The sequence below is a fragment of the Homo sapiens genome, chromosome 5 (assembly GCF_000001405.40).
Source record: "Homo sapiens chromosome 5, GRCh38.p14 Primary Assembly".
Lineage (NCBI taxonomy): Eukaryota > Metazoa > Chordata > Mammalia > Primates > Hominidae > Homo > Homo sapiens.
In genome coordinates this window covers 116,159,452-116,182,465 of record NC_000005.10, presented here as the reverse complement: position 1 = coordinate 116,182,465, position 23,014 = coordinate 116,159,452, and the positions used below count along the sequence as shown (strand labels likewise).

Sequence of the window (23,014 nt, the reverse complement as noted above, 5' to 3'; positions counted from 1 at the left end):
CTTTTTTTTTGCTCAAACTCTCTCAAAACAGCTGAGCTCACTGACACCCACCCCCCACACCTCTTCCCCATTTCAGTAAACAATACTACCATTAATTAATTTACATAAATCGGAAACCTATTGTTCTTAATTTCTCTCCTCTTTCTCTTTCACCTCCCTCCCTGCCTTCCATCCATAATCTTAATATTAAATAGTAGCCTAGAGCTAAACTACTATCAGTTCTTAGAGTAAAGAAACTTTTTGTTGTTGTTGTTGCCTCAAAGCCTGTATACATTCAATTGTCTGCTTGAATAATGCGCCTCCCTCCTCTTAACAGACCTAGTTGTTTCTCTTCTGTGGGTCTCAATTTCAATGTCATCTCCTCAGAGATCACTACACCTAAAATAGTTTGCTAATAGTATCAATCATCTCCTTGTTCTTGTCCTTCACATGACATATTTCAACTGGCAACTACATAATTTGTCTGTTTACCTGTTTTTGTTCATATATATGTCCCCTAAGAGAATATAAACTCCATGGGGGCAGGAGCTATGTCTATCCTACTCTTTATCTCCAGCTCGAAATATGCCTGGCACATATTAGATGTTTAGTAAATATTTACTGAATAAATGAATATAGTAGCAAGTTTAAAGAAATGCTGAGATGTTGGCCAATTTTATAATATCCTACTACTGTGATAAGCAAGATCATGTTGCCAGAAGTTAAAGATAACTTTCTTAAATTAAAAAACCTTCCTTCTCATTTTAATTTTGATTAGGTCAAACGGTTCCACCATGATTTATAACAATGATTCTCAAAGTATGGTCCTTGGACCAGAAGCATCCTGCACATTTCAAAATAATAGTTCTCTAAAAATATTTCTAGAATTCGACAAAACAGACTTCCTATTATTATTTCCTTCTTTATGTGGATTTTTATGATTAACCATGTTTCATACTTTTTAAAAAAATCTATGACTCAAAACTCAGTAGCAATAATGTAGATAGGTTTAAACTGCTCTGATTTCTGCTAATTTCTTTCATACTAGATGTAAAACACCAGCTCAGCTTTAATTTGTATTGTATCACTATTTCACACAACTTCAGAAGATAGAAGATATAAAGCATAATCTTGGTCAATAATAAGAACACTGATAAACAAACACCCCAAAAGCATAAATTTCAGCATTTAGAATTCACATATTATCAACTGACCATACATTCACATACTACTTCCAGAGATCTCAATGTAATCCAACAGAGAAGTACACTACAGAAACAGATTTCTAATTAAAATGAAAGTACAGCAATAATAATAAAGACTTTTTTATTTTATAATTTTTGGAGACAGGGTCTCACTCTGTCGCCCAGGCTGAAGTACAGTGGCACAATCTCAGCTCACTGCAGCTTCAACCTCCCAGGCTCAAGTGATCCTCCCACCTTAGCCCACCAAGTAGCTGGAACTACAGGTGTGTGTCATCATGCCCAGGTAATTTTTGTAGAAACAGGGTTTCACCATGTTGTCCAGGCTGGTCTCGAACTACTAAGCTCAGGCAATCTGCCCGCCTCAGCCTCCCAAAGTGCTGGGATGAGAGACATGAGCCTAATAAAGACTTTTTAAATAAGCATTTCATCATTTTCTCCTAAAAATTACAACAAAAAACTCATTAAAATGATAAGAATTAAAATGTCGTCAATAGCTGATATACTACAATATATGCGATCCCCCTAAATGATCCCAAGTCAAAAAAATTGATTTTATAAAAATAGTTTTAAGAATATATTTTTTTAGTTAGGGAGTTTATTTTTTTTTAATTTTGGTTTCACTAAATTCGTTTTTCAAATAAACTTTTAAGATTGAAGGTCACAAAAAGAGAAAAACGTATAATTTCTTAAACATTTAGAATGAACTGCTAATAGAAAATTTCACAATAAATTGTATTGTCTAGGCAACTATTATTAAAAATATGAGGCACTTAAAATTATGTATGAAATACAAATCCATTATCCCAACACTAATACAGGAAAAAAATCAAATTAGAAAAAATACCCACTTCTCTTGTACTCCATTTCAGTGGCCTAGGACCTAAACAAAAGATAAATGAATAACTTAACTGAAAACAGAATTTAGTGAACATATTTTAAAATATATCCTAAGCAATGGATCAGTGACAATTACAAATTTAGATATACTATTGCTAATTTGTATTAAATCATATCCATCAAGGTTTCTATAAACCTGAATGTACGTATTATTCCATTCAAAAATGTTTTATACATATAACTGAAAATGTACAGAGGTAACCCAAGCGTCTCTAAGTGTATACAACAGATATAATCAATTAACCCTAAATTCAAAAATTTCAGTATTGACTGTCCAAAGATATGGAAAGCTCTCAAAAACCTAAAATCCTATATTTTACAGTAAGCTTTAATACTGAGTAATAATCTTTTTAATATCAAGAGTAACAACAAAAAACCTCAATTCATCCCAGCCCTCCTTCCAAGTTATTTTATTTCTGTCCATGGAAATAGCATTCTGCTTGCTACACTCTTCTTACCTTTATTTTCTATAGAAAACTGCCATCTCGTCCAATCATTTTCCCCCAAGAAATGTCTTGTAGATTTGAGTTTTCTACTTCATTCCTACTACTACTACCTTTTCCTGCCTCAATATTACTTCAATCTTTCATGGTTACCATCACACTGACCTTCCAGTTGATAAAACTGATATAATTTTTATCAAGTCATCCTGCTCAAGAAATCTATAAAAGCATTCTGGTGCCTATCCCATAAAAACTACCTGGTTTGCAAGGACTGCTTCAATCCAGGCCCAGGTTACTAACTGAAATTAATTCCTATTGTATACCTTCTACTCTCATTAGGCCATTCCTTATGCTCTGTGCCAGGTCTTTTAAGCTTCCTTCTTGTTCCTTCCATTGTGGAACAGCTCTTCTCCCCACCACCTACCCATAACCTTCAATGTCTCATTTCTTCTACATGCTTTGAATCAAGCCCATTCCACACAGGCTCGTGGGTATTTACGAATGGAAAGAGTACCAGGCCAAAGTCAGGAAACCTGCGTTCTTAGTCTGGTTCTGACATTATCCAGTAGTGTAACTCTGGGCAGATTTTTGAGTTAAACAGCTAGTCCAGACTTTTGTTTCCTCGTCAATAAAATGAGATATTAGATTATTCCTAAAATCTGTTTTAAAATTATTTAACTCCCACAACACTTATAGTCTTAATACTTTATCACTTAATCGTACATTAAAGGTTTTATGTGTATTGAATCTTATTTATTAGGTTATAAACTTCCTGAAGATAAAAGTTACACATTGTACGTTTTACATTTTTGCAAACTCAGCAAGCATGACACAGTGTTTGATAACATAATGGTTCTCTTTCAGCTATTTTACCTATGGAATCATAAAATTACATAGGTAAACATGGGGACAGAAGCATGATGTATTACATTTTAAAACAAGCTTATTTTGTATTCCTTTAACACAGAGCGTCTGAAATCCCTAAGCCTCTGGTTCAGGTATATTATTAAATAACATGTATCTAATGTAATTGAATAATTAAGGTATACAATGTTATATTTTCTTAACATTTTGGAATGGAAGATGTTTATATGAATACATTCTAGTGGCCATCTGCATCAACTACAGCTAACCACTTCTGAGAATAAATCAGGGCATTAACTTTTGTGCTAAAACCTTATTATAAACCAACTTTCCTTAATGCTGCTAAGAAAAGCAGAGTCAACTAACTGCAAAAGGCCCATCTAGGCTAGAAAGTAAACTTGGCCTGAGATGATATATCTCCTGATGCTATAATATTAAGTGCTTCTTAGGAATTAGAATAGTGAATGTTTTTAGGGACAGGAACTCAAATAGGGGGCATCATCCCCGTTATTATAGTTATGCACACATTTTTAAAATTATAAATATTTACACATTTACATTTGCATACCCAAGATACATTTTTGGTGCCTTCAGGGATTTTATTGTACTTTATTATCCGTTAATTTGATAGTAACTTTATAATAACTCCAAATATGTAATGTAATCATATACTTTAGAACAATTTTATAAAGTAAGTTTTGTTTAAGGCTTTAATCTTACTAATTAATCGCAGAATCTTAAGAAGTGGGAAAGAACCTAGAATCACAGGTCTAACACAATGTTTGTTACATAGTAGAGGCTCAATAAATAAATACTTATCTAAGCAATCTTATAATACTAATGAGAATAAAAGAAGACAATCCAAAATGAAGTGGTTTCTATCTCAACTCCATCATTCATTTAAGCAGTTGGCTCATTTTCACCTTACTTTCCTTATCTCTAACTTGCTTTATCTATCATACAGCTAAATACCTAAACATTAGGAAAATGAAGTATTTATTTCTTTTACAGGCAGAAAACACAAAAGAGCCCAAATAACTCTCAAGTATAGTGTGTACCATTCTGAACCCTATCTTTTTAAGTTAAGGTACATGCTCATATTATCTGAGTAAAAGAATATTAAAGCCAAGTATGCAGGTTTATTTGTTCAGATAATAAACGTTTATTAAGCACCCACTATGTGCTGTGTAAATTCCAAAAGGAAAAATATGAATAAGGAAACAAAACTCAGTATGAAGTGGGATGAGAGATACATATACAAATGAAAGCATGTTCAAAGTGAAATGGCCACTTAGTACTGAGAAAGGTTTGGGCAAACAAGGTAGCATATAAGTTTTAAAGGATTGATAGATTTTTCCAGACGCAAAGGTAAGGGAGAAGAGAAGGGACAAAATATGCAAAGGAGAAGAAAATGATGCTTGAAAATCTTTGAAAAATTGAATACAGAAAGTTCCTAGGATGACTATGGGAAAGTGGGATGAAAAGAAACTAACAGAGTAGGCAGAGATCTGATCCTACAAAGTCACATTATTCTGCAGTGGGGTGGGGGGGGTCACTTAGACATTTTAAGCAGGAAAGTATCATATCAGAACTTTGTTTTAGAAAAATGACACTAGGTTGGAAGAGGAAGATTCTGAAGGCAGGAAGATAAATTAGGAGAATAATGCAGTCCCTTAGGATGGAGATAATAAAAGCTTCAGTTGAAGCAATGAAGATGAAAAGATATTAATGCAAAGAGCATTTACATTTACATGTATTTTAAACATATGAAGATGAGAGAGAAAGCTGTCTCTTTCTTTCCTTTCTCAAAACCCATTCCAAATGTCCCAGCTTATTTCTGGTCCACCCAATACAATCAACCCCTCCCAAGTTTCCCATCTCCATTAAGACACTTTGTCCACTGGATCCCTGTCTTAATCACCACTCTGAGGCTCTTCCAACACAATAGTACGTGATCTAGAACATGCTACCTATCAGTGGCACTGTGACTACCTTTGCAAGCCCATCCAGGAGCCTCAGCTTGACTGCACCCCCAAAAGATTGTTTCCTGCTTGCCCAGCAACTACAGACCAACTCTGGCCTTAGCAGATTGTACCTTCTCTAACAAGGTCTGAACTCTAACTTTGGGGAAGGACCCTCTTCCAAGTTGTTCTTTTCCTTAAATACTCTCCTCCTTCAGGCCTAGTATGTTTGTTACAGTTCTCTTTACACTTTTATAGTTACTCACGTATCATAGCTTTCTAATTCTTTATATTAAACTTCCCCTGTTTAAAATTACTTTGTGGTTTCTGTCTCCTTATTAGATTTAGGGAGATACTGACAACAATCATAAGAAATAACATGAGAATCAATAACTAGGAAATTTTTTAAAAATAATAATTAAATGAGAAAATGAAAGTAAGCCACCCATTAAGAGTACAACCTTATAGGACCCTCAACATCAGAAAACAGAATTTAAGACTTTAAAATATGAATTTTATATACATGAGAAAGTAAAACATATAGGAAAATAACCATTAATAACATGAACTTAGGGACTTTAAAATGAAGACATACAAAATTAAAGGACTTGGAATAACAGTGGTAAACCCACATCTCAGATGTTAGGTTAAATGTTTTAGATTCTATTTGTAAAAGCCTAAAGCAGAACAGTGAATAAGTCCAGGCTGAGCACGGTGGCTCACACCTGTAATCCCAACACTTTGGGAGGCCGACGAGAGTGGATCACTTGATGCCAGGAATTCCAGTCCAGCCTAGTCAGCCTGGCAAACGCTGTCTCTACTAAAAATAGAAAAACAATCAGCTAGGCGTGGTGGCACATGCCTGTAATCTCAGCTACTCAGGAGGCTGAGGCATGAGAATTGCTTGAATCTTGTAGGTGGAGGTTGCAGAGAACCAAGATCGTGCCACTGCACTCCAGCCTGGGAGACAAAGACAATCTATCTCAACAAATAAACAAACAGTGAATAAGTCCAAAAAGCCAACAAGGTGAATGTGACATTCAAGCTCAGAACATTTTTTTTTCTAAATTGTGGTAAAATATACATAACATAAAATTTGCCAAATTAACCATTTTGAGTACAGTTCTGTGGCAACAAGTACATTCATATTGTTGTGCAACCATCACCACCATCCATCTCCAGACTTTTTCATCTTCTTTAACTGAAGCTCTGTACCCATTAAACAATAACTCCCTACTCCTCATTCCCCCTGGCCTCTAGCAACTACCATTCTACTTTCTGTCTCTATGAATTTGACCGCTCTATGTACCTCATAAAATAAAATCATACCACATTTGTCCTTTTGTGACTGGCTTATTTTACTTAGCTGAATGTCTTCAAGTTTCATCCATGTTGCAACGTATGGCAGAATTTCATTCCTTTTTATGACCGAATAATATCCCGTTGCATATATATACCATATTTTGCTTATCCATGCATCTGCCAAATAAATACTTGGGTTGCCTCCACCTTTTGGCTATTGTGAATTCTGCTGCTACAAACATGGGTGGATAAATATCTGAGTCCTTGCTATTCTTTTGAATATACACTCAGAAGTAGCAATGCTAGGTCATATGGTAATTCTATGTATAATTTTTTATGAACTGCCATATTGTTTTCCAGAGTGGCTATACAATTTTACATTCATTGCCACCGGTAATGTACAAGGATACCCATTATTCTTTTCATGCTGCCATTTAATAAACACCCATTATGTGACATAAGGACATCTACTTAAAACCATCTATTCATTCAATTCATTTATAGTAAGTTACTAACTACCTAGCCCACTGAGCTGCAGCAATTTTTTTTTAAAGCCACTGCCCTTAAGAAATTTGTATTTTAGTGAGGTGATACAGACACAAAAATAAAAAACAAATATATATATCATATATTAAATACAACTGAGACAAATAAAACAAGGTAAGGAGATAGAAAGTAATGCGGGAGTGTTTTAAATGTGGTGGTGAGAAAAGTCCACTCTGAATGTGGCATTTAGAAAGACATTCAGGAAGTAAAGGAAATAGTTATGAAAGATCACAAAGAGCTCTGTTCCCCAGCAAACTGGTTCTCCACATCTCTTAGTCAGCAAGCTATATTATATCTGCCATAAGGTACAATTATTTAAAAAAACGAAAAGTTAATCTTATGTTTTAAATTGCTTAAAGGAGTTTCAAACTTTGGTAAACATTTAGAAACTGACCATTTCTTTATAGAGAAGTTAAAATAGGACACATTAATAGACTTCAAGGACAACTGTTAGCTTTGATTAAAAATTGAGTAAGAGTGGCTACTACCTAGAGAAGATCCAACATGGTTAGGAAAGGATTTCTGTAAAGACAACTATAGGCAAGTAAGAGAGACACAAGTTATCCAGGTAAATTTTGGGGTTATCTTTAATGACTCACTTTATCTCACACTTTGTATCTAACCAACAAATCCTACCATATTCCCTTCAAAGTATTTTGGAATTCCCCTTTCACTACCTCCACCATCATCATTCTGGTCTAAACCACTACCATCTCGTGACTGAATGGTTATTCTACTAATTGATTATCCATCAGTTATATCATTGCTCCCTTGCAATCTGTTTTCTGTGCAGTAGCTATAGTGATCCTTGTAGACTATAATTCAGAACATGTATGTTTCTGCTCAACATCCTCCATTTTGAGGAAAATTCAAAGTCTTTACCAAGTCCTATAAGGCAATACAGAATTCCATGTCCTCCCATACCCATTATTACTCTCACCTTATCATCTGAACCTCTCTTCCCACATACTCTACTCCTGCCACACTGGCCTCCTTCTGGGAATTTAGCAAGCACACTTCCATCTCAGGGCCTTTGCAATTGGTGTTCTTACTTACTGGATTGTTTTTCCTTAAGACATGCACATCTTTTTCAGGTATCCAGTTAGGTATTATCAGGAAGAAAAGCCTTCCCTAAAATAGTACCGTTATTGCTCTCCATCTCCATATCCTACTTAATTTTTCTTCATAGTGTTAATCACAACCTGATAGAGTATACACTTATTCAATCTATGTTCTTTTTCCACTTATTAGAATGAATGCTCTAAGAGAGAAGGACTTTGCTTTGGTTACTGCTGTATCTTCAATACCTGGAAGTATATGGCACATGGCATATTTTCAATAGATGTTTGTTGAATAAAGAATTAAGGAATGAATTCATATTACTATATTATGACTGTCCTTGTTCCAAAAAAAAAAAAACAAAAACAAAACAAAACAAAACAAAAACCCAAAAACAGTTGGAAAAAAAATGGATTAACAAGGAAGGTGATACCCAATGCTTTGGCTTCTGCAGTTAGTATGTGCAATTCTATTTGTATCTCTACAACGCATCTAGAGCAGGTGGATAATTTATGAAACTATAACTCTCTACTGAAGACATAGAACAGACCATAACTTTTGGAATGACTTCAGATCATAGCTGAAGAGGTAAAAATTAAAAGCTACCAAAAGTGAATGGCAAACACTAAGTACTTCATTATAGAGGATGAAATAGTCTTTTTTAAAAAAAGCTATTCATAATGTGATGGCTGAAAATAAAATCTAGCTCTTTGTAAGTATATTCATACTAACTGTATAAATTAAGTTGCATGATCCAGTTCACCAAAATAACATAGAAAGTAAAATGTTAAAAATCAGGAAATTCCAAAGTTTACACTTCTACTCTAATACTAACTTGCTTAAATTGGCTTATATAACACTTTAAAGGTGTATATATAACTGGAAAATTGAATATAACTAAACTCATAGAAATAACGCTGATATATCACTGCTAGAGGAAGTATAACTTAGGAATTTCCTGATTTCCAAGAACTGCTGTTTAATGCCAAGGCATTCATACAATTTTTTTCATTTGTAAACTACTTCAAAAATGGAATAAATATGAAACAACAGGCAGCTGTTAGATGAATTAAGATTATATGACTTTACCTTAACCTTAGTATTTACTACCTAAACATTTTCATTATATATTAAAAGATAATATACAAACAGAAAAAAGGGTTATATGTGTTAATTTACATTATTATGAATCTCAGTATTCTAATACTGCCATTATTTTAAGCAGTTTAAATTTTATAAACTTTACATGAGCAAAAGTTAAAGATCTGATTGTGTTACATAAAATTATTAAAGACATCCTCTCATATTGTCAATTCTTGTATTAGTCAAATTTTTGCAAGAACACTGAAATTTCATCGTATTTTTTGTAATTAAAAAGCATGAAGAATTCAAGCTCCAAAATCTTACTATCTCAGATGAGGAAAGGTTAGTAATATTTTAATTTTAACCCACATCTATGCACAGCCAGGATTCAGAAGCCCTGTGCTGCTCTTCTCCATGCCTCTTAGCCTGGTTCAGGGCTGTTGCTCTAAAAGATACCCTGGAGTATGACTTTATAACACAAAACACTGTGAGTAAATCTTTTCGAATAGGAACTCAGTTCTGTTTTCTAAAGTATCAGACTAAAACTCTGTAGGACTGAAGAAAAAACACTTAAATATTTCCGACCTAGGGTAGATAACAGAAAGCAATAGTCTGAGCAAATGCTCCAGATTTCAGGGAGCTCCTATGATTTTGTAGAATCAAAAAGCCAAAGGTAACTTGTAATTCAGGGTAGCACATTTAGAGACAAAGAGGCAGCATCCATATTCCTACAAAACACAATTAGTATCATCATAGTATTTTTCTTCATATAATCACTCGCTCCCTCTGTCTGAGTACTCCTTCCCTCCTATTTATCCCTGAAGCAGTGTAAATAGCTTTCCCACACCTTTAATAATCCAAAGCTTTTCTTTACTTTCCTCTCACACCTCCCTCCAGCCTTACATATTAAATAAAATCTTGCCATAAAAATAGCAGCTGGTAAGCCAATATGGGATGTTTCCTTAACATTCTACACAGTTTACCATATGTACTATAATAAAGTTGCTGGGCTGAAAGATATATTTTTCCAGCCTTTGGTTATTCTTCTGTAAGCTCTGGACATACCACTAAGCAAAATCTTATTTTGGACATCAACCACCAGAAACTGAGTTTAAATATGATAATTCACAAAACAACGGACAGATTTTTTTATTATAATTTAAGTTCTAGGATACATGTGCAGAACATGCAGATTTGTTACATAGGTATACACGTGCCATGGTGGTTTGTTGCACCATCAACCCGTCATCTACATTAGGTATTTCTCCTAATGTTATCCCTCCCCTAGCCCCACACCCGTGACAGGCCCCAGTGTGTGATGTTCCCCTCCCTGTGTCCATGTGTTCTCACTGTTCAACTCCCCCTTATGAGTGAGAGCATGCAGTCTTTGGTTTTCTGTTCCTGTGTTACTTTGCTCAGAATGATGGTTTCCAGCTTCATCCATGATGCTGCAAAGGACATAAACTCACCCTTTTTTATGGCTGAATAGTATTCCATGGTGTATATGTGCCACATTTTCTTTATCCAGTATATCATTGATGGGCATTTGGGTTGGTTCCAAGTCTTTGCTATTGTAAATTGTGCTGCAATAAACATACACGTGCATGTGTCTTTATAGTAGAATGATTTATAATCATCTGGGTATATACCCAGTAAGGGGATTGCTGTATCAAATGGTATTTCTGGTTCTAGATCCCTGAGGAATCGCCACACTGTCTTCCACAATGGTTGAACTAATTTACACTCCCACCAACAGTGTAAAAGCATTTCTATTTCTCCACACCCTCTCCAGCATCTGGTGTTTCCTGACTTTTTAATGATCGCCATTCCAACTGGCGTGAGATGGTATCTCATTGTGATGTTGATTTGCATTTCTCTAATGACCACTGATGATGAGCTTTTTTTCGTATGTCTGCTGGCTGCATAAATGTCTTCTTTTAAGAAGTGTCTGTTCCTATCCTTTGCCCATTTTTTGATGCAGTTTTCTTCATGTAAATTTATTTAAGTTATTTGTAGATTCTGGATATTAGACCTTTCTCAGATGGACAGATTGCAAAATTTTTCTCATTCTGTAGCTAGTCTTTTCACTCTGATGATAGTTTCTTTTGCTGTGCAGAAGCTCTTTAGTTTAATTAGATCCCATTTGTCAATTTTGGCCTTTGTTGCCATTGCTTTTGGTGTTTTAGCCATGAAATCTTGGCCCATGCCTATGTCTTGAATGGCATTGCCAAGATTTTTTCCTAGGGTTTTTATGGTTTTAGGTCTTATGTTTAAGTCTTTAATCCATCTTGAGTTAATTTTTATATAAGGTGTAAGGAAGGGGTCCAGTTTCAGTTTTCTGCACATGGCTAGCCAGTTTTCCTAACATAATTTATTAAATAGAATACCCTTTCCCCATTCCTTGTTTTTGTCAGGTTTGTCAAAGATCAGATGGTTGTAGATGTGTGGCATTATTTCTGAGGCCTCTGTTCTGTTCCACTGGTATATATATCTGTTTTGGTACCAGTACCATGCTGTTTTGGTTACTGTAGCCTTGTAGTATAGTTTTAAGTTAGGTAGTGTGATGCCTCCAGCTTTGTTCTTTTTGCTTAGGATTGTCTTGGCTATACGGGTTCTTTTTTGGTTCCACATGAAATTTAAAGTAGTTTCCTCTAATTCTGTGAAGAAGTTCAATGGTAGCTTGATGGGGATGGCACTGAATCTACAAATTACTTTGGGCAGTATTTTCATTTTCACGATATTGATTCTTCCTATGCATGAGCATAGAATGTTTTTCATTTGTTTCTGTCCTCTCATTTCCTTGAGAAGTTGTTTGCAGTTCCCCTTGAAGAGGTCTTTCACATCCCTTGTAAGTTGTATTTCTAGATATTTTGTTCTCTCTGTAGCAATTGTGAATGGGAGTTTGCTCATGATTTGGCTCTCAGTTTGTCTATTATTGGTGTATAGGAATGCTTGTGATTTGTGCACACTGATTTTGTATCCTGAGACTTTGCTGAAGTTGCTTATCAGCTTAAGGAGATTTTGGGCTGAGACAATGTGGTTTCTAAATATACAATCATGTCATCTGCAAAAAGAGACAATTTTACTTCCTCTCTTCCTATTTGAATACCCTTTATTTTTTTCTCTTCCCTGATTGCCCTGGCCAGGGCTTCCCATACTATGATGAATAGGGGTGGTGAGAGAGGGCATCGCTGTCTTCTGCCGGTTTTCAAAGAAAATACTTCCAGCTTTTGCCCATTCAGTATGATATTGGCTGTGGGTATGTCATAAATAGCTCTTATTATTTTGAGATACGTCCCATCAGTACCTAGTTTATTGAGTGTTTTTAGCATGAAGAGGTGCTGAATTTTATCGAAGGCCTTTTCTACATCTATTGAGATAATAATGTGGTTTTTGTCATTGGTTCTGTTTACGCAATGGATCACGTTTATTCATTTGCATATGTTGAACCAGCCTTGCATCCCAGGGATGAAGCTGACTTGATCATGGTGGATAAGCTATTTGATATGCTGCTGGATTCAGTTTGCCAGTATTTTATTGGGATTTTCACATCAATGTTCATCAGGGATGTTGGCCTGACATTTTCTTTTTTTGTTGTGTCTCTGCCAGGTTTTGGTATCAGGATAATGCTGGCCTCTTAAATGAATTAGGGAGGAGTCCCTCTTTTTCTATTGTTCAGAATAGTTTCCGAAGGAAACTCCTCTTTGTATCTCTGGTAGAATTCAGCTATGAATCTGTGTGGTCCTGGGCTTTTTTTTGGTTGGTAGCCCATTAATTATTGACTCAATTTCAGAACTTGTTATTGGTCTATTCAGAGATTCATCTTATTCCTGGTTTAGTCTTGGGAGGTGTATGTGTACAGGAATGTATCCATTTCTTCCAGATTTTCTAGTTTATTTGTATAGAGGTGTTTATAGTATTCTCTGATGGTAGTTTGTATTTCTGTGGGATCAGTGGTGATATCCCCTTTATCATTTTTTATTGTGTCTATTTAATTCTTCTCTCTTTTCTTCTTTATTAGTGTGGCTAGAGGTCTATTTTGTTAATTCTTTTCAGAAAAACAGCTCCTGGATTCATTGATTTTTTTTTGAATGAATTTATTTTTTGAATTGGTTTTTCATGTCTCTATCTCCTTTCGTTCTACTCTGATCTTAGTTATTTCTTGTCTTCTGCTAGCTTTTGAATTTGTTTGCTCCTGCTTCTCTGGTTCTTTTAACTGTGATGGTAAGGTGTCAATTTTAGATCTTTCCCGCTTTCTCCTGTGGGCAGTTAGTGCTATAAATTTCCCTCTACACACTGCTTTAGCTGTGTCCCAGAGATTCTGGTACATTGTGTCTTTGTTCTCATTGGTTTCAAAGAACTTTTTATTTCTGCCTTCATTTCGTTATTTACCCAGTAGTCATTCAGCAGCAGGTTGTTCAGTTTCCATGTATTTGTGTGGTTTTGAGTGAGTTTCTTAATCTTGAGTTCTAATTTGATTGCACTGTGGTCTGAGAGTCTGTTATGATTTCCATTCTTTTGCATTTGCTGAGGACTGTTTTACTTCCAATTATGTGGTCAATTTTAGAATAAGTGCGGGATGCAGTGCTGAGAAGAATATATACTCTGTTGATTGGGGTGGAGAGTTCTGTAGATGTCTATTAGGTCTGCTTGGTCCAGCGCTGAGTTCAAGTCCTAAGTATCCTTATTAATTTTTTGTCCCATTGATCTAATATCGAAAGTGTGGTGTTAAAGTCTCCCACTATTATTGTGTGTGAGTCTAAGTCTCTTCATAGGTCTCTAAGAACTTGCTTTATGAATCTGGGTGCTCCTGTATTGCGTGCATATATATTTAAGAAAGTTAGCTCTTCTTGTTGCACTGATCCCTTTATCATTATGTAATGCCCTTCTTTGTCTTTTTTGATCTTTGTTGCTTTAAAGTCTGTTTTATCTGACACTAGGACTGCAATCCCTTTTTTTTTTTTTTTTGCTTTCCATTTTCTTTGTAAATATTCCTCCATCCATTTGTTTTGAGCCTATGTGTGTCTTTGCACACGAGATGGGTCTCCTGAATACAGCACACCAATGGGTCTTGACTCTATCCAATTTACCAGTGTGTGTCTTTTAATTGGGGCATTTAGTCCATTTACATTTAAGTTTAATTATTGTTTCATGTGAATTTGATCCTGTTATTATGACAGTAGCTGGTTATTTTGCCTGTTAGTTGATGCAGTTTCTTCATAGTGTCGATGGTCTTTACAATTTTGTATGTTTTTGCAGTGGCTGGTACCAGTTTTTCCTTTCCATATTTAGTGTTTCCTTCAGGAGCTCTTGTAAGGCAGCCCTGGTGGTAACAAAATCCCTTAGTATCTGGTTGTCTGTAAAGGATTTTATTTCTCCTTCACTTATGGAATTTAGCTAGGTTGGATAGGAAATTCTGGGTTGAAAATTCTTTTCTTTAAGAGTGTTGAATATTGGCCCCCACTCTCTTCTGGCTTGTAGGGTTTCTGCCGAGAGATCCGCTGTTAGTCTGATGGGCTTCCCTGACCTGTCTCTCTGGCTGCCCTTAACATTTTTTCCGTCATGTCCACCTTGGTGAATCTGATGATTATGTGTCTTGGGGTTGCTCTTCTCGAGGAGTATCTTTGTGGTGTTCTCTGTATTTCCTGAATTTGAATGTTGTCCTGTCTTGCTAGGTTGGGGAAGTCCTTCTGGATAACATCCTGAAGAGTGTTTTCCAACTTGGTTCCATTCTCCCCATCACTTTCAGGTACACCAATCAAACACAGGTTTGGTCTTTTCACATAGTCCCATATTTCCTGGAGGCTTTGTTCATTCCTTTTCATTCTTTTTTCTCTATTCTTGCCTTCATGCTTTACTTCATTAAGTTGATATTCAATCTGATATCCTTACTTCTGCTTGATTCAGCTATTGACACTTGTGTAGGCTGCATGAAGTTCTTGTGCTGTGTTTTTCAGCTCCATCAGCTCATTTATGTTCTTCTCTAAACTGGTTATTTTAATTAGCAATTCCTGCAACCTTTTTTCAAGGTTCTTAGCTTCCCTGCATTGGATTAGAACATGCTCCTTTAGCTCGGAGAAGTTTGTTATAACCCATTTTCTGAAGCCCACTTCTGTCAATTCGTCAAACTCATTCTCCAACCAGTTATGTTCCCTTGCTGGTGAGGAACTGTGATCCTTTGGAGGAGAATGGGCATTCTGGTTTAGGGAATTTTCAGCCTTTCTGCATTGGTTTTTTTCCTCATCTTCATGGATTTATCTACCTTTGGTCTTTGATGTTGGTGACCTTCGGATGGGGTTTTTGTGTGGATGTCCGTTTTGTTGATGTTGATTCTATTCCTTTCTCTGTTTGTTAGTTTTCTTTCTAACAGTCAGGCCCCTCTGCTGCAAGTCTGCTGGAGTTTGCTGGAGGTCCACTCCAGACCCTGTTTGCCTGGGTATCACCAGAGGAGGCTGCAAAACAGCAAAGATTGCTGCCTGTTCCTTCCTCTGGAAGTTTCGTCTCAGAGGAGCACCCGCCAGATGTCAGCTGGAGCTCTCCTGTATGAGATGCCTGTCAACCCCTGCTGGGAGGTGTCACCCCATCAGGAGGCACGGGGGCCGGGGACCCACTTGAGGAGGCAGTCTGTCCCTTAACAGAGCTTGAGGGCTAAACGCACAGCATTTCAATTTATTAGATGGTACAATTTATTTCAATGCATTACATGGTGCAAATAAAACTTGCCAGAACTTCCCCTAGAGTGCTTGTCTATGGAGAATTCCAATTATCCTGAAAAAAATGGGTATGTCTGGCTACTTAGAGTCTTATACTTGTAATTAGAAGATCTGGATTCAAGTCCTTAAGCTCTACAAATAATAGAAAAAGGAACATTGTACATTTTTATAAAAAACAATCTTTGCATCTTATGGTTCAAAATATATTTTCCCTTAAATTATGACCAGTAACAACTCTGAGGAACAACTATCGCCATTTGACAGAGAAATGGACTCAAGTCCATGTGCCAAGGACTAAAACTATAGAAATATTTAAACATGCAAGCTCTTTCGGCCATAGAATGTCTAGGTATGCCACAAGCAATACAGGATAGTTGAGGATGACACTCTTAGTGAGTCTGCCACCATAGCTGACCCACCTCAATTCATGTTACCAAATGTGATTTGACTAAAAAAGGGTAAGATGAACCACCCTCTCAGGGGCAGATAAAGGGTAATCAAGTATTATTAACTGAATTCTTGTATACCCCAAAATTCATGTTATAGCCCTAAACAGCAGTGTAGTTGCATTTGGAGATGGGGCCTCTAAGGAAGTATTTAAGGTTAAATTAGGTCACAAGGGTACAGCACTGATCTGTTAGGATGAGTGCCTTTATAAGAAGAGACACCATCTCTCTGAAGACTAGATTAGAAAATAACAAGGTAAGAAAAAAGAAAAAGAAACAATAAGAGACACCAGAGAGCTCACTCTCTACCAGCCCTGTGCACACGCGTGTGTGTGCGCACAAACACACACACAGATACACCCACACACACACACACCCTTAGGAAAGATCATGTGAAGACAAGGCAGACAGGCATCTACAAGCTAGAAAGACAGCCCTCACCAGAAACCAAATTTGCCAAGACCTTGATTTTAAACTTTCTTCCAGAACTGTGAGAAATAAATGTCTGTTTTTCAAACTACCCACCCTGTGATATTTTGTTTTGGCAGCCCTAGCAGACTAATACACCAAGTACATAAGATGTATGTGAGTGGCTATTAATTTGTAATAAGAAATTACAATTACCAAAAATACTCCTTAAATACAATTACCAAAAATATGCATTATCAGAGCTGTGTTTCAAGCAAAGCATGAAAGCCAGGAGAACTCGATTAAGGGGATATTTTAAATAGCCTGAGGTATGCTTTTCACCATAGGCACTCCCTCATCAATGGAACCAGATAATTCAGACTTTTCTCATTTTAATTCCTTTTCATTGCTCAATGACAATTCTCATCTTAGTCTCAGAGATTCTCTTCAGGCCTCAACAGCATAAGGATATGTCAGAAACTTGAGAGGGATATACACTTTACTTAAATAAGTTTAAAAAATTAGAAAAGCTGTAAGCTACAGACTGAGATCAATACTGACTTTATCACTGACTTTTCATGTCTTGGCCATGATTCATTCTGTGTAAATCCAAGTCTTCATGGGTACTTTAGTCTGCAAGGACTTCAGACAAATTCCAGGGCTCAGGCTATACCTCCTCTTCATCCTCCTTGCCAAGGGCACATTATAGCTTATTAAGTGGCAGTACATAAAATATCATATTTGAGCTGTGCAACACAACCCCCCTAAGAACATTATAAATTTTTCCCCCAAAATTTTGCAACTAACTCTTAGTTAAGTGGTGATACCCAGATCCACACTCTTTTTACTATTTCAGATATTATTATGAGTAAATACATGAAGTAATCCAGAATTTCCTTGAAATAAAGATACATGTGGTCATTTGTAAACTACAAGTTGGCTTTTATAATTAGGGTTTTAAAAAGTAACTGAAAATAGACAGTTACTAAAATAGACAGTTACTGTTCTTGCTTAACATTTTTATTTCATTAGCAGTAATGGCATGAACATTTGACAACAAAGGCATGCTCACTGAGAAGACTTCTCTAAACCAATGAAAAATTAATTATAGAATTACCTAACCTTTGTGTGAACAACTGTCAATTACCCCCACTTATTTGGAGGTAGGGGAAAAATTAACCAGAAATACAAAATAGAAATTAATCCAGAGTGGTTTTTTATTTTATTTTTATTTTTTTTGAGACCGAGTTTCACTGTGTTGCCCAGGCTGGAGTGCAGTGGCCCAATCTCGGCTCACTGCAAACTCCTCCTCCTGGGTTCAAGCAGTTCTCCTGCCTCAGCCTCCTGGGTAGCTGGGATTATAGGCGTGCGCCACCATACCCAGCTAATTTTCTTTTGTATTCTTAGTAGAGGCAGGGTTTTACCATGTTTGCAGAGCTAGTCCAGAACTCCTGACGTCAGGTGATCCGCCCTCCTTAGCTTCCCAAAATGCTGGGATTACAGACGTGAGCCACCAGGCCTGGCCTCAGAGTGTTATATTGACTAAGGAAAATAGTTACACAAAGTATTTCCATCACCCCTTTGTAGATAAACCTGTAACTTCAATGGGAAAGGGTAGAAAAAGGGTAGAAACTACGTTTATTTACTCATATACAAGACAAAACCAAAAATATACATAAATTTCACACAAATGGAAACTGGGTAGCTTTTCCCTTGAACATCATTCAATTTAAAAAATTAAAAAAGACATATAATTTCATCTTTACTCAAAAGCATAGAAAGTATTCTAAACAAAAAGTGGTTTAAGAAGACATAACTTAGTGCTTTATAATAAAAGAATAATCTCTGACTAATTCAATAATGCCATACCATAAAATTAACCCTATATACTATAAACTATTCACAAAATCATCAAGATAGTTTCCTTGTGTTGAGTTTTTGGTTTATTTTATTTTATTTTTATTTTTTTGGAGACAGAGTGTTGCTATTGTTGCCCAGGCTGGAGCGCGATGGTGCAATCTTGGCTCACCGAAACCTCTACTTCCCGGGTGCAAGTGATTCCCTGCCTCAGCCTCCTGAGTAGCTGGGATTACAGGCATCCGCCACCAAGCCTGGCTTTTTTTTTTTTTTTTTTTTAAGTAGAGGTGGGGTTTCACCATGTTGGCCAGGCTAGTCTCCAACTCCTGACCTCGGGTGATCCACCTGCCTCGGCCTCCCAAAGTGCTGGAAGTACAGGAGTGAGCTACCATGCCTGGCCCTGGTTTATCTTTTTTTAAATTATAAGACATTTTCAAGAAGAAAACGCCAATACTTTTTTTAATTACAAAGATGCTTTTAAAAATCTAAGATCCAGCTACTAGACACTAAGAAATACATTCTATCTTTTGATATTAAAAGTTATTTGTATATATCTAATGCTGAATTATCTAAAAATTACTCACTCTGGTAAAATAATTAGTATTTCCTTTAGCTTAGTCTTTAAGTCAAGACTCTTCTTATCTGAACCTCTAAAGAAGTGGTAAGGAGCCCCACAGGTGGCAGAGAGGTTTCTAGAAACTGAGAGAGGAGTATAAGCAGGACAAATTCTTAACAATGCCTGGCTCCTTCACTCCCATTCACCCAACAAGAGTTGCTCCATTTTTGTCAGATACATATTAGGGCTCTGAATATCTGATAATTTTTTAAAAAGGTGTTGTATCTAAAATAGTTCCAAAACTACTACTCTGAAGTAGACCCTAGAAGGTGTTCTGTGCGATAACCCAACACTGATGGAGACATTTACCACTATGTCTCTAAAACACTTAGGTTTCTCAACTTAATCTCACAAAATTGACCAAACAGTATACAAACTGTCCCTCTGGATAGAAAAGTACACACCTTTGTTGCTAATTATAGTGTTTTCTACAATTTAACGTTTTCAACCAAATTATTTCTAAATTGGTAAGCTCAGTTATAGAGAATGATAAATGATAAAAAGAGAAAATCTATTTATGTACATATATAGATATATCACTTATCTATATGTGCTACTATGTAGTAGCAGTCTTATTAAACAGTCACTGCCATGCCAATCTAAAATACCTGAGTGGGCAGCTATTATGCAACTTCTGTGTAACTGGAAACAAAATACCCACACTCACAAAGCTATCTATAAATTATTGTACTCATCTGTTTATAGCAAAAAAGATTTCATAAATTTAAATAGGTCAATGAAACTACTTAAGGTGCATGCTTGTAATTTTCATATTTTCTTGTACTGCAGTCTTATTAAACAGTCATTACCATGCCAATCCAAAATACCTGAGTGGGTAGCTATTATGCAACTTCTGTATAACTGGAAACAAAATACCCACACTCATAAAGCTATCTATAAATTATTGTACTTATCTATTTATAGCAAAAAAGATTTCACAAATTTAAATAGGTCAATGAATCTACTTAAGGGGCATGCTTATAATTTTCATATTTTCTTGTACTTTAAAATCAAATGAGGTCAACATATATTACAATCAGTCAAAAAGTGGCGAAAATAACCAATTTAAATGGGATGAAAATTGGACCATCATTAACATGAGGGAGAAAAACTTCTGGTTTCTCATTTTAAAAAAGACCATGCTGTAACTAGCAGCATATTTTCAGAAGATGATTTAAAAGCCCACAGAACATAGGTGTGCACTGCAGGGGTCCATTTATACGTGAGTTTATTTTTTCCATAAAAGTTATATGAAGTGCACCTGCCTCTCCTTCCACCTCCTCCGTCTATTCTCCCTCTGCCACCCCTGAGATGGCAAGAGCAACCCTTTCTCTTCTTCCTCCTATTCAACATGAAGATGATGAGGATGAAGATCTTTATGAAGATCTGCTTCTACTTTCACTTTATGAAGAAATAATATATTTTCTCTTCCTTATGATTTTCTTAATAACATTTTCTTTTCTCTAACTTACTCTATTGCTAAAATATAGTACATAATGCATATAATATATAAAATATGTGTTGACTGTTATTGGTAAGGCTTCTGGGTAACAGTAGGCAACTAGTAATAAAGGTCTCGGGGAGTCAAAAGTCATATGCTGATTTGTCACTGCACAGGGGCTGGTACCCCTAGACCCGGTATTGTTCAAGGGTCAACTGCACTTGTAACTTCACCTGAAATTCTCTCTATCCCCAACAACTTATAAGAAAAAGGAAGAAATACATTTATTCAGCTTCTATTATACAGCCGGCACTAAACCATTATATATCCATTATCTTAGTCAATTCTCACAACCACCCTAGGAGATAAGCATTCACATCCCCATTTTAAAGATGACGAAGATAAGAACAAAGCAGAGAAAGAATTTAAACCAGGTTTGCTGAATCCAAAGCCCATGATCCTTCTACATAATCAGTAGTTTTCAGACATTTAGATTTCACAGATCAGTACGATACACAGATACACATGCACATACACATATACCAAAAACAAACCAACCAACCGGCAGGCTTCATGGGCCCATAAATATTTTATTTCCCAAGAAATGAGATATTTTTTCAAAGCCCTACTATTTACCATCAGTATTATTTTTTTAAAAATGATATTAACATGAAAAAAATACCTGAAATTAAGAAAAAAGCCTTCTGGGGAAAAAAGCCTCATACCAATATTTTCAACACAGAATAGCACAGGTTCACCAACTGGCAAGGGAGAACAATTGTACTGAATCACACTGCTTCCCGTAACAGAGAGGCAGAAAACAGAACCTGAAACATTCTCCTACATCCTCTTCCTACTTTCATTACAGAGAATGCATGTTGCCTTAATTAAAGCCATGAGATTTCTGAAATTTTTATATGCCAAGGTTCTGATGACCAAGAAAATTATACAGGCTTTAAAAATAAAGAAGTTTCTAGTATCAGCAGATTGTTCATTTTCAATACAGGCATTACTTTGTACTTTCACAGATAGCAGTTCTTCCTTAGGCTTTTTCTTCAAATAAAATCTTTAGATCTGATGCAATCAAACCAGCTGTTAAAGAGTATAAATCTATTACCTTGTACCTAAGAGACTCATCCAACTTCAGTTGCATTCCTGTCTTTCTAGCTTTATCAATCACATTTAATTAAAAAGAGCATCTTGTCTTCTTCACATTTTAATACAGCACCTGATATTAGGATGCTAAGTTACTATGAGAAGGTCAGAATACAATGGATTTAGCTCATTGCCAAATGCAGGAACAAATTCATTAACAAATGAATTTGAGCTAAATTTTCAGAGTAAATTTATATTTTTTAAAAACTCATAGTTTGTCCTCAAAACAGTAACCTGCAGCAAAAGTTGTAACAATTCTGTAACACGTATATCTAAATACTCATTACAGTCTCTCCCATATCTCTATTTCTAGTTTCATTTACTCTTTAGGCAGAAAATAGGTTCAAGGGTCTAGTAAAGGAGGCAAATGGGCAGAAAACAACCTCTTGTTTGCTATCCCACTGCACTTGAAATGGACCTCTATAATTCACTACCATTTATAAGTGTCTCGCATATCAACATCACATTAGGTAATTTACTGCCTCCAATTCCTGGTCCATAACTATTCCATCCTGAAAAGTCATAATACAATGTTATTGGAACAATCTATTCATATTGTAAATGACATGTTTTCTAACTATTTTTTTAAGCCACTAGGGAGGAGAATTAAGCATTTTTCCAGGCAATACATTTAAGTTTCAATCTTAATAAATTTAGTCATTGTGTATACTCTTCCTTTTACCCAGACCATGCATTCCTTTTTTCACTTACTTTTTAAGGCCTAATTCAAAGATGTTTTCCTCTGTGGAGTCTTCTCTATGGATCTAGACAATATCAACCCCATGCATCTCTGCACTCAGCCTGTACTTGGAATAAACCTCCACAGTTCATTATCATGTACAAGCATCTAGTGTTTGGGGCACCACTTTAGGGGCTTAACACATTTCCCAATTAACTGCACTGCATACAAGCCTTTTTCTCTCACATCACTGACTTTGTCCAGAGCAGGAACCTTAATATCCTTTTTATCTGCTCAGCACCTAGCTCAGAACTTGGATAAAGAGTGACAGGAGGGACACTGCAAGTATTTGCAATGTAT

The 23,014-nt window shown here is 35.9% G+C and overlaps 1 protein-coding gene across 5 annotated transcripts in view; it reads right to left on the bottom strand.

Annotated features, from left to right (window-relative positions):
* The window catches only part of COMMD10 (COMM domain containing 10), a 208,263-nt gene that overhangs the window by 110,822 nt on the left and 74,427 nt on the right, over positions 1-23,014 (bottom strand). Inside the window, exon 6 of one of the 5 annotated variants that reach the window (NR_146220.2) lies at positions 2,033-2,064. The exons of the other annotated variants lie outside the window; for them this stretch is intronic. The gene's annotated coding sequence lies outside the window, so the exon portion shown is untranslated. The remainder of the gene's footprint in view (positions 1-2,032; positions 2,065-23,014) is intronic. 5 annotated transcript variants of the gene reach the window in all.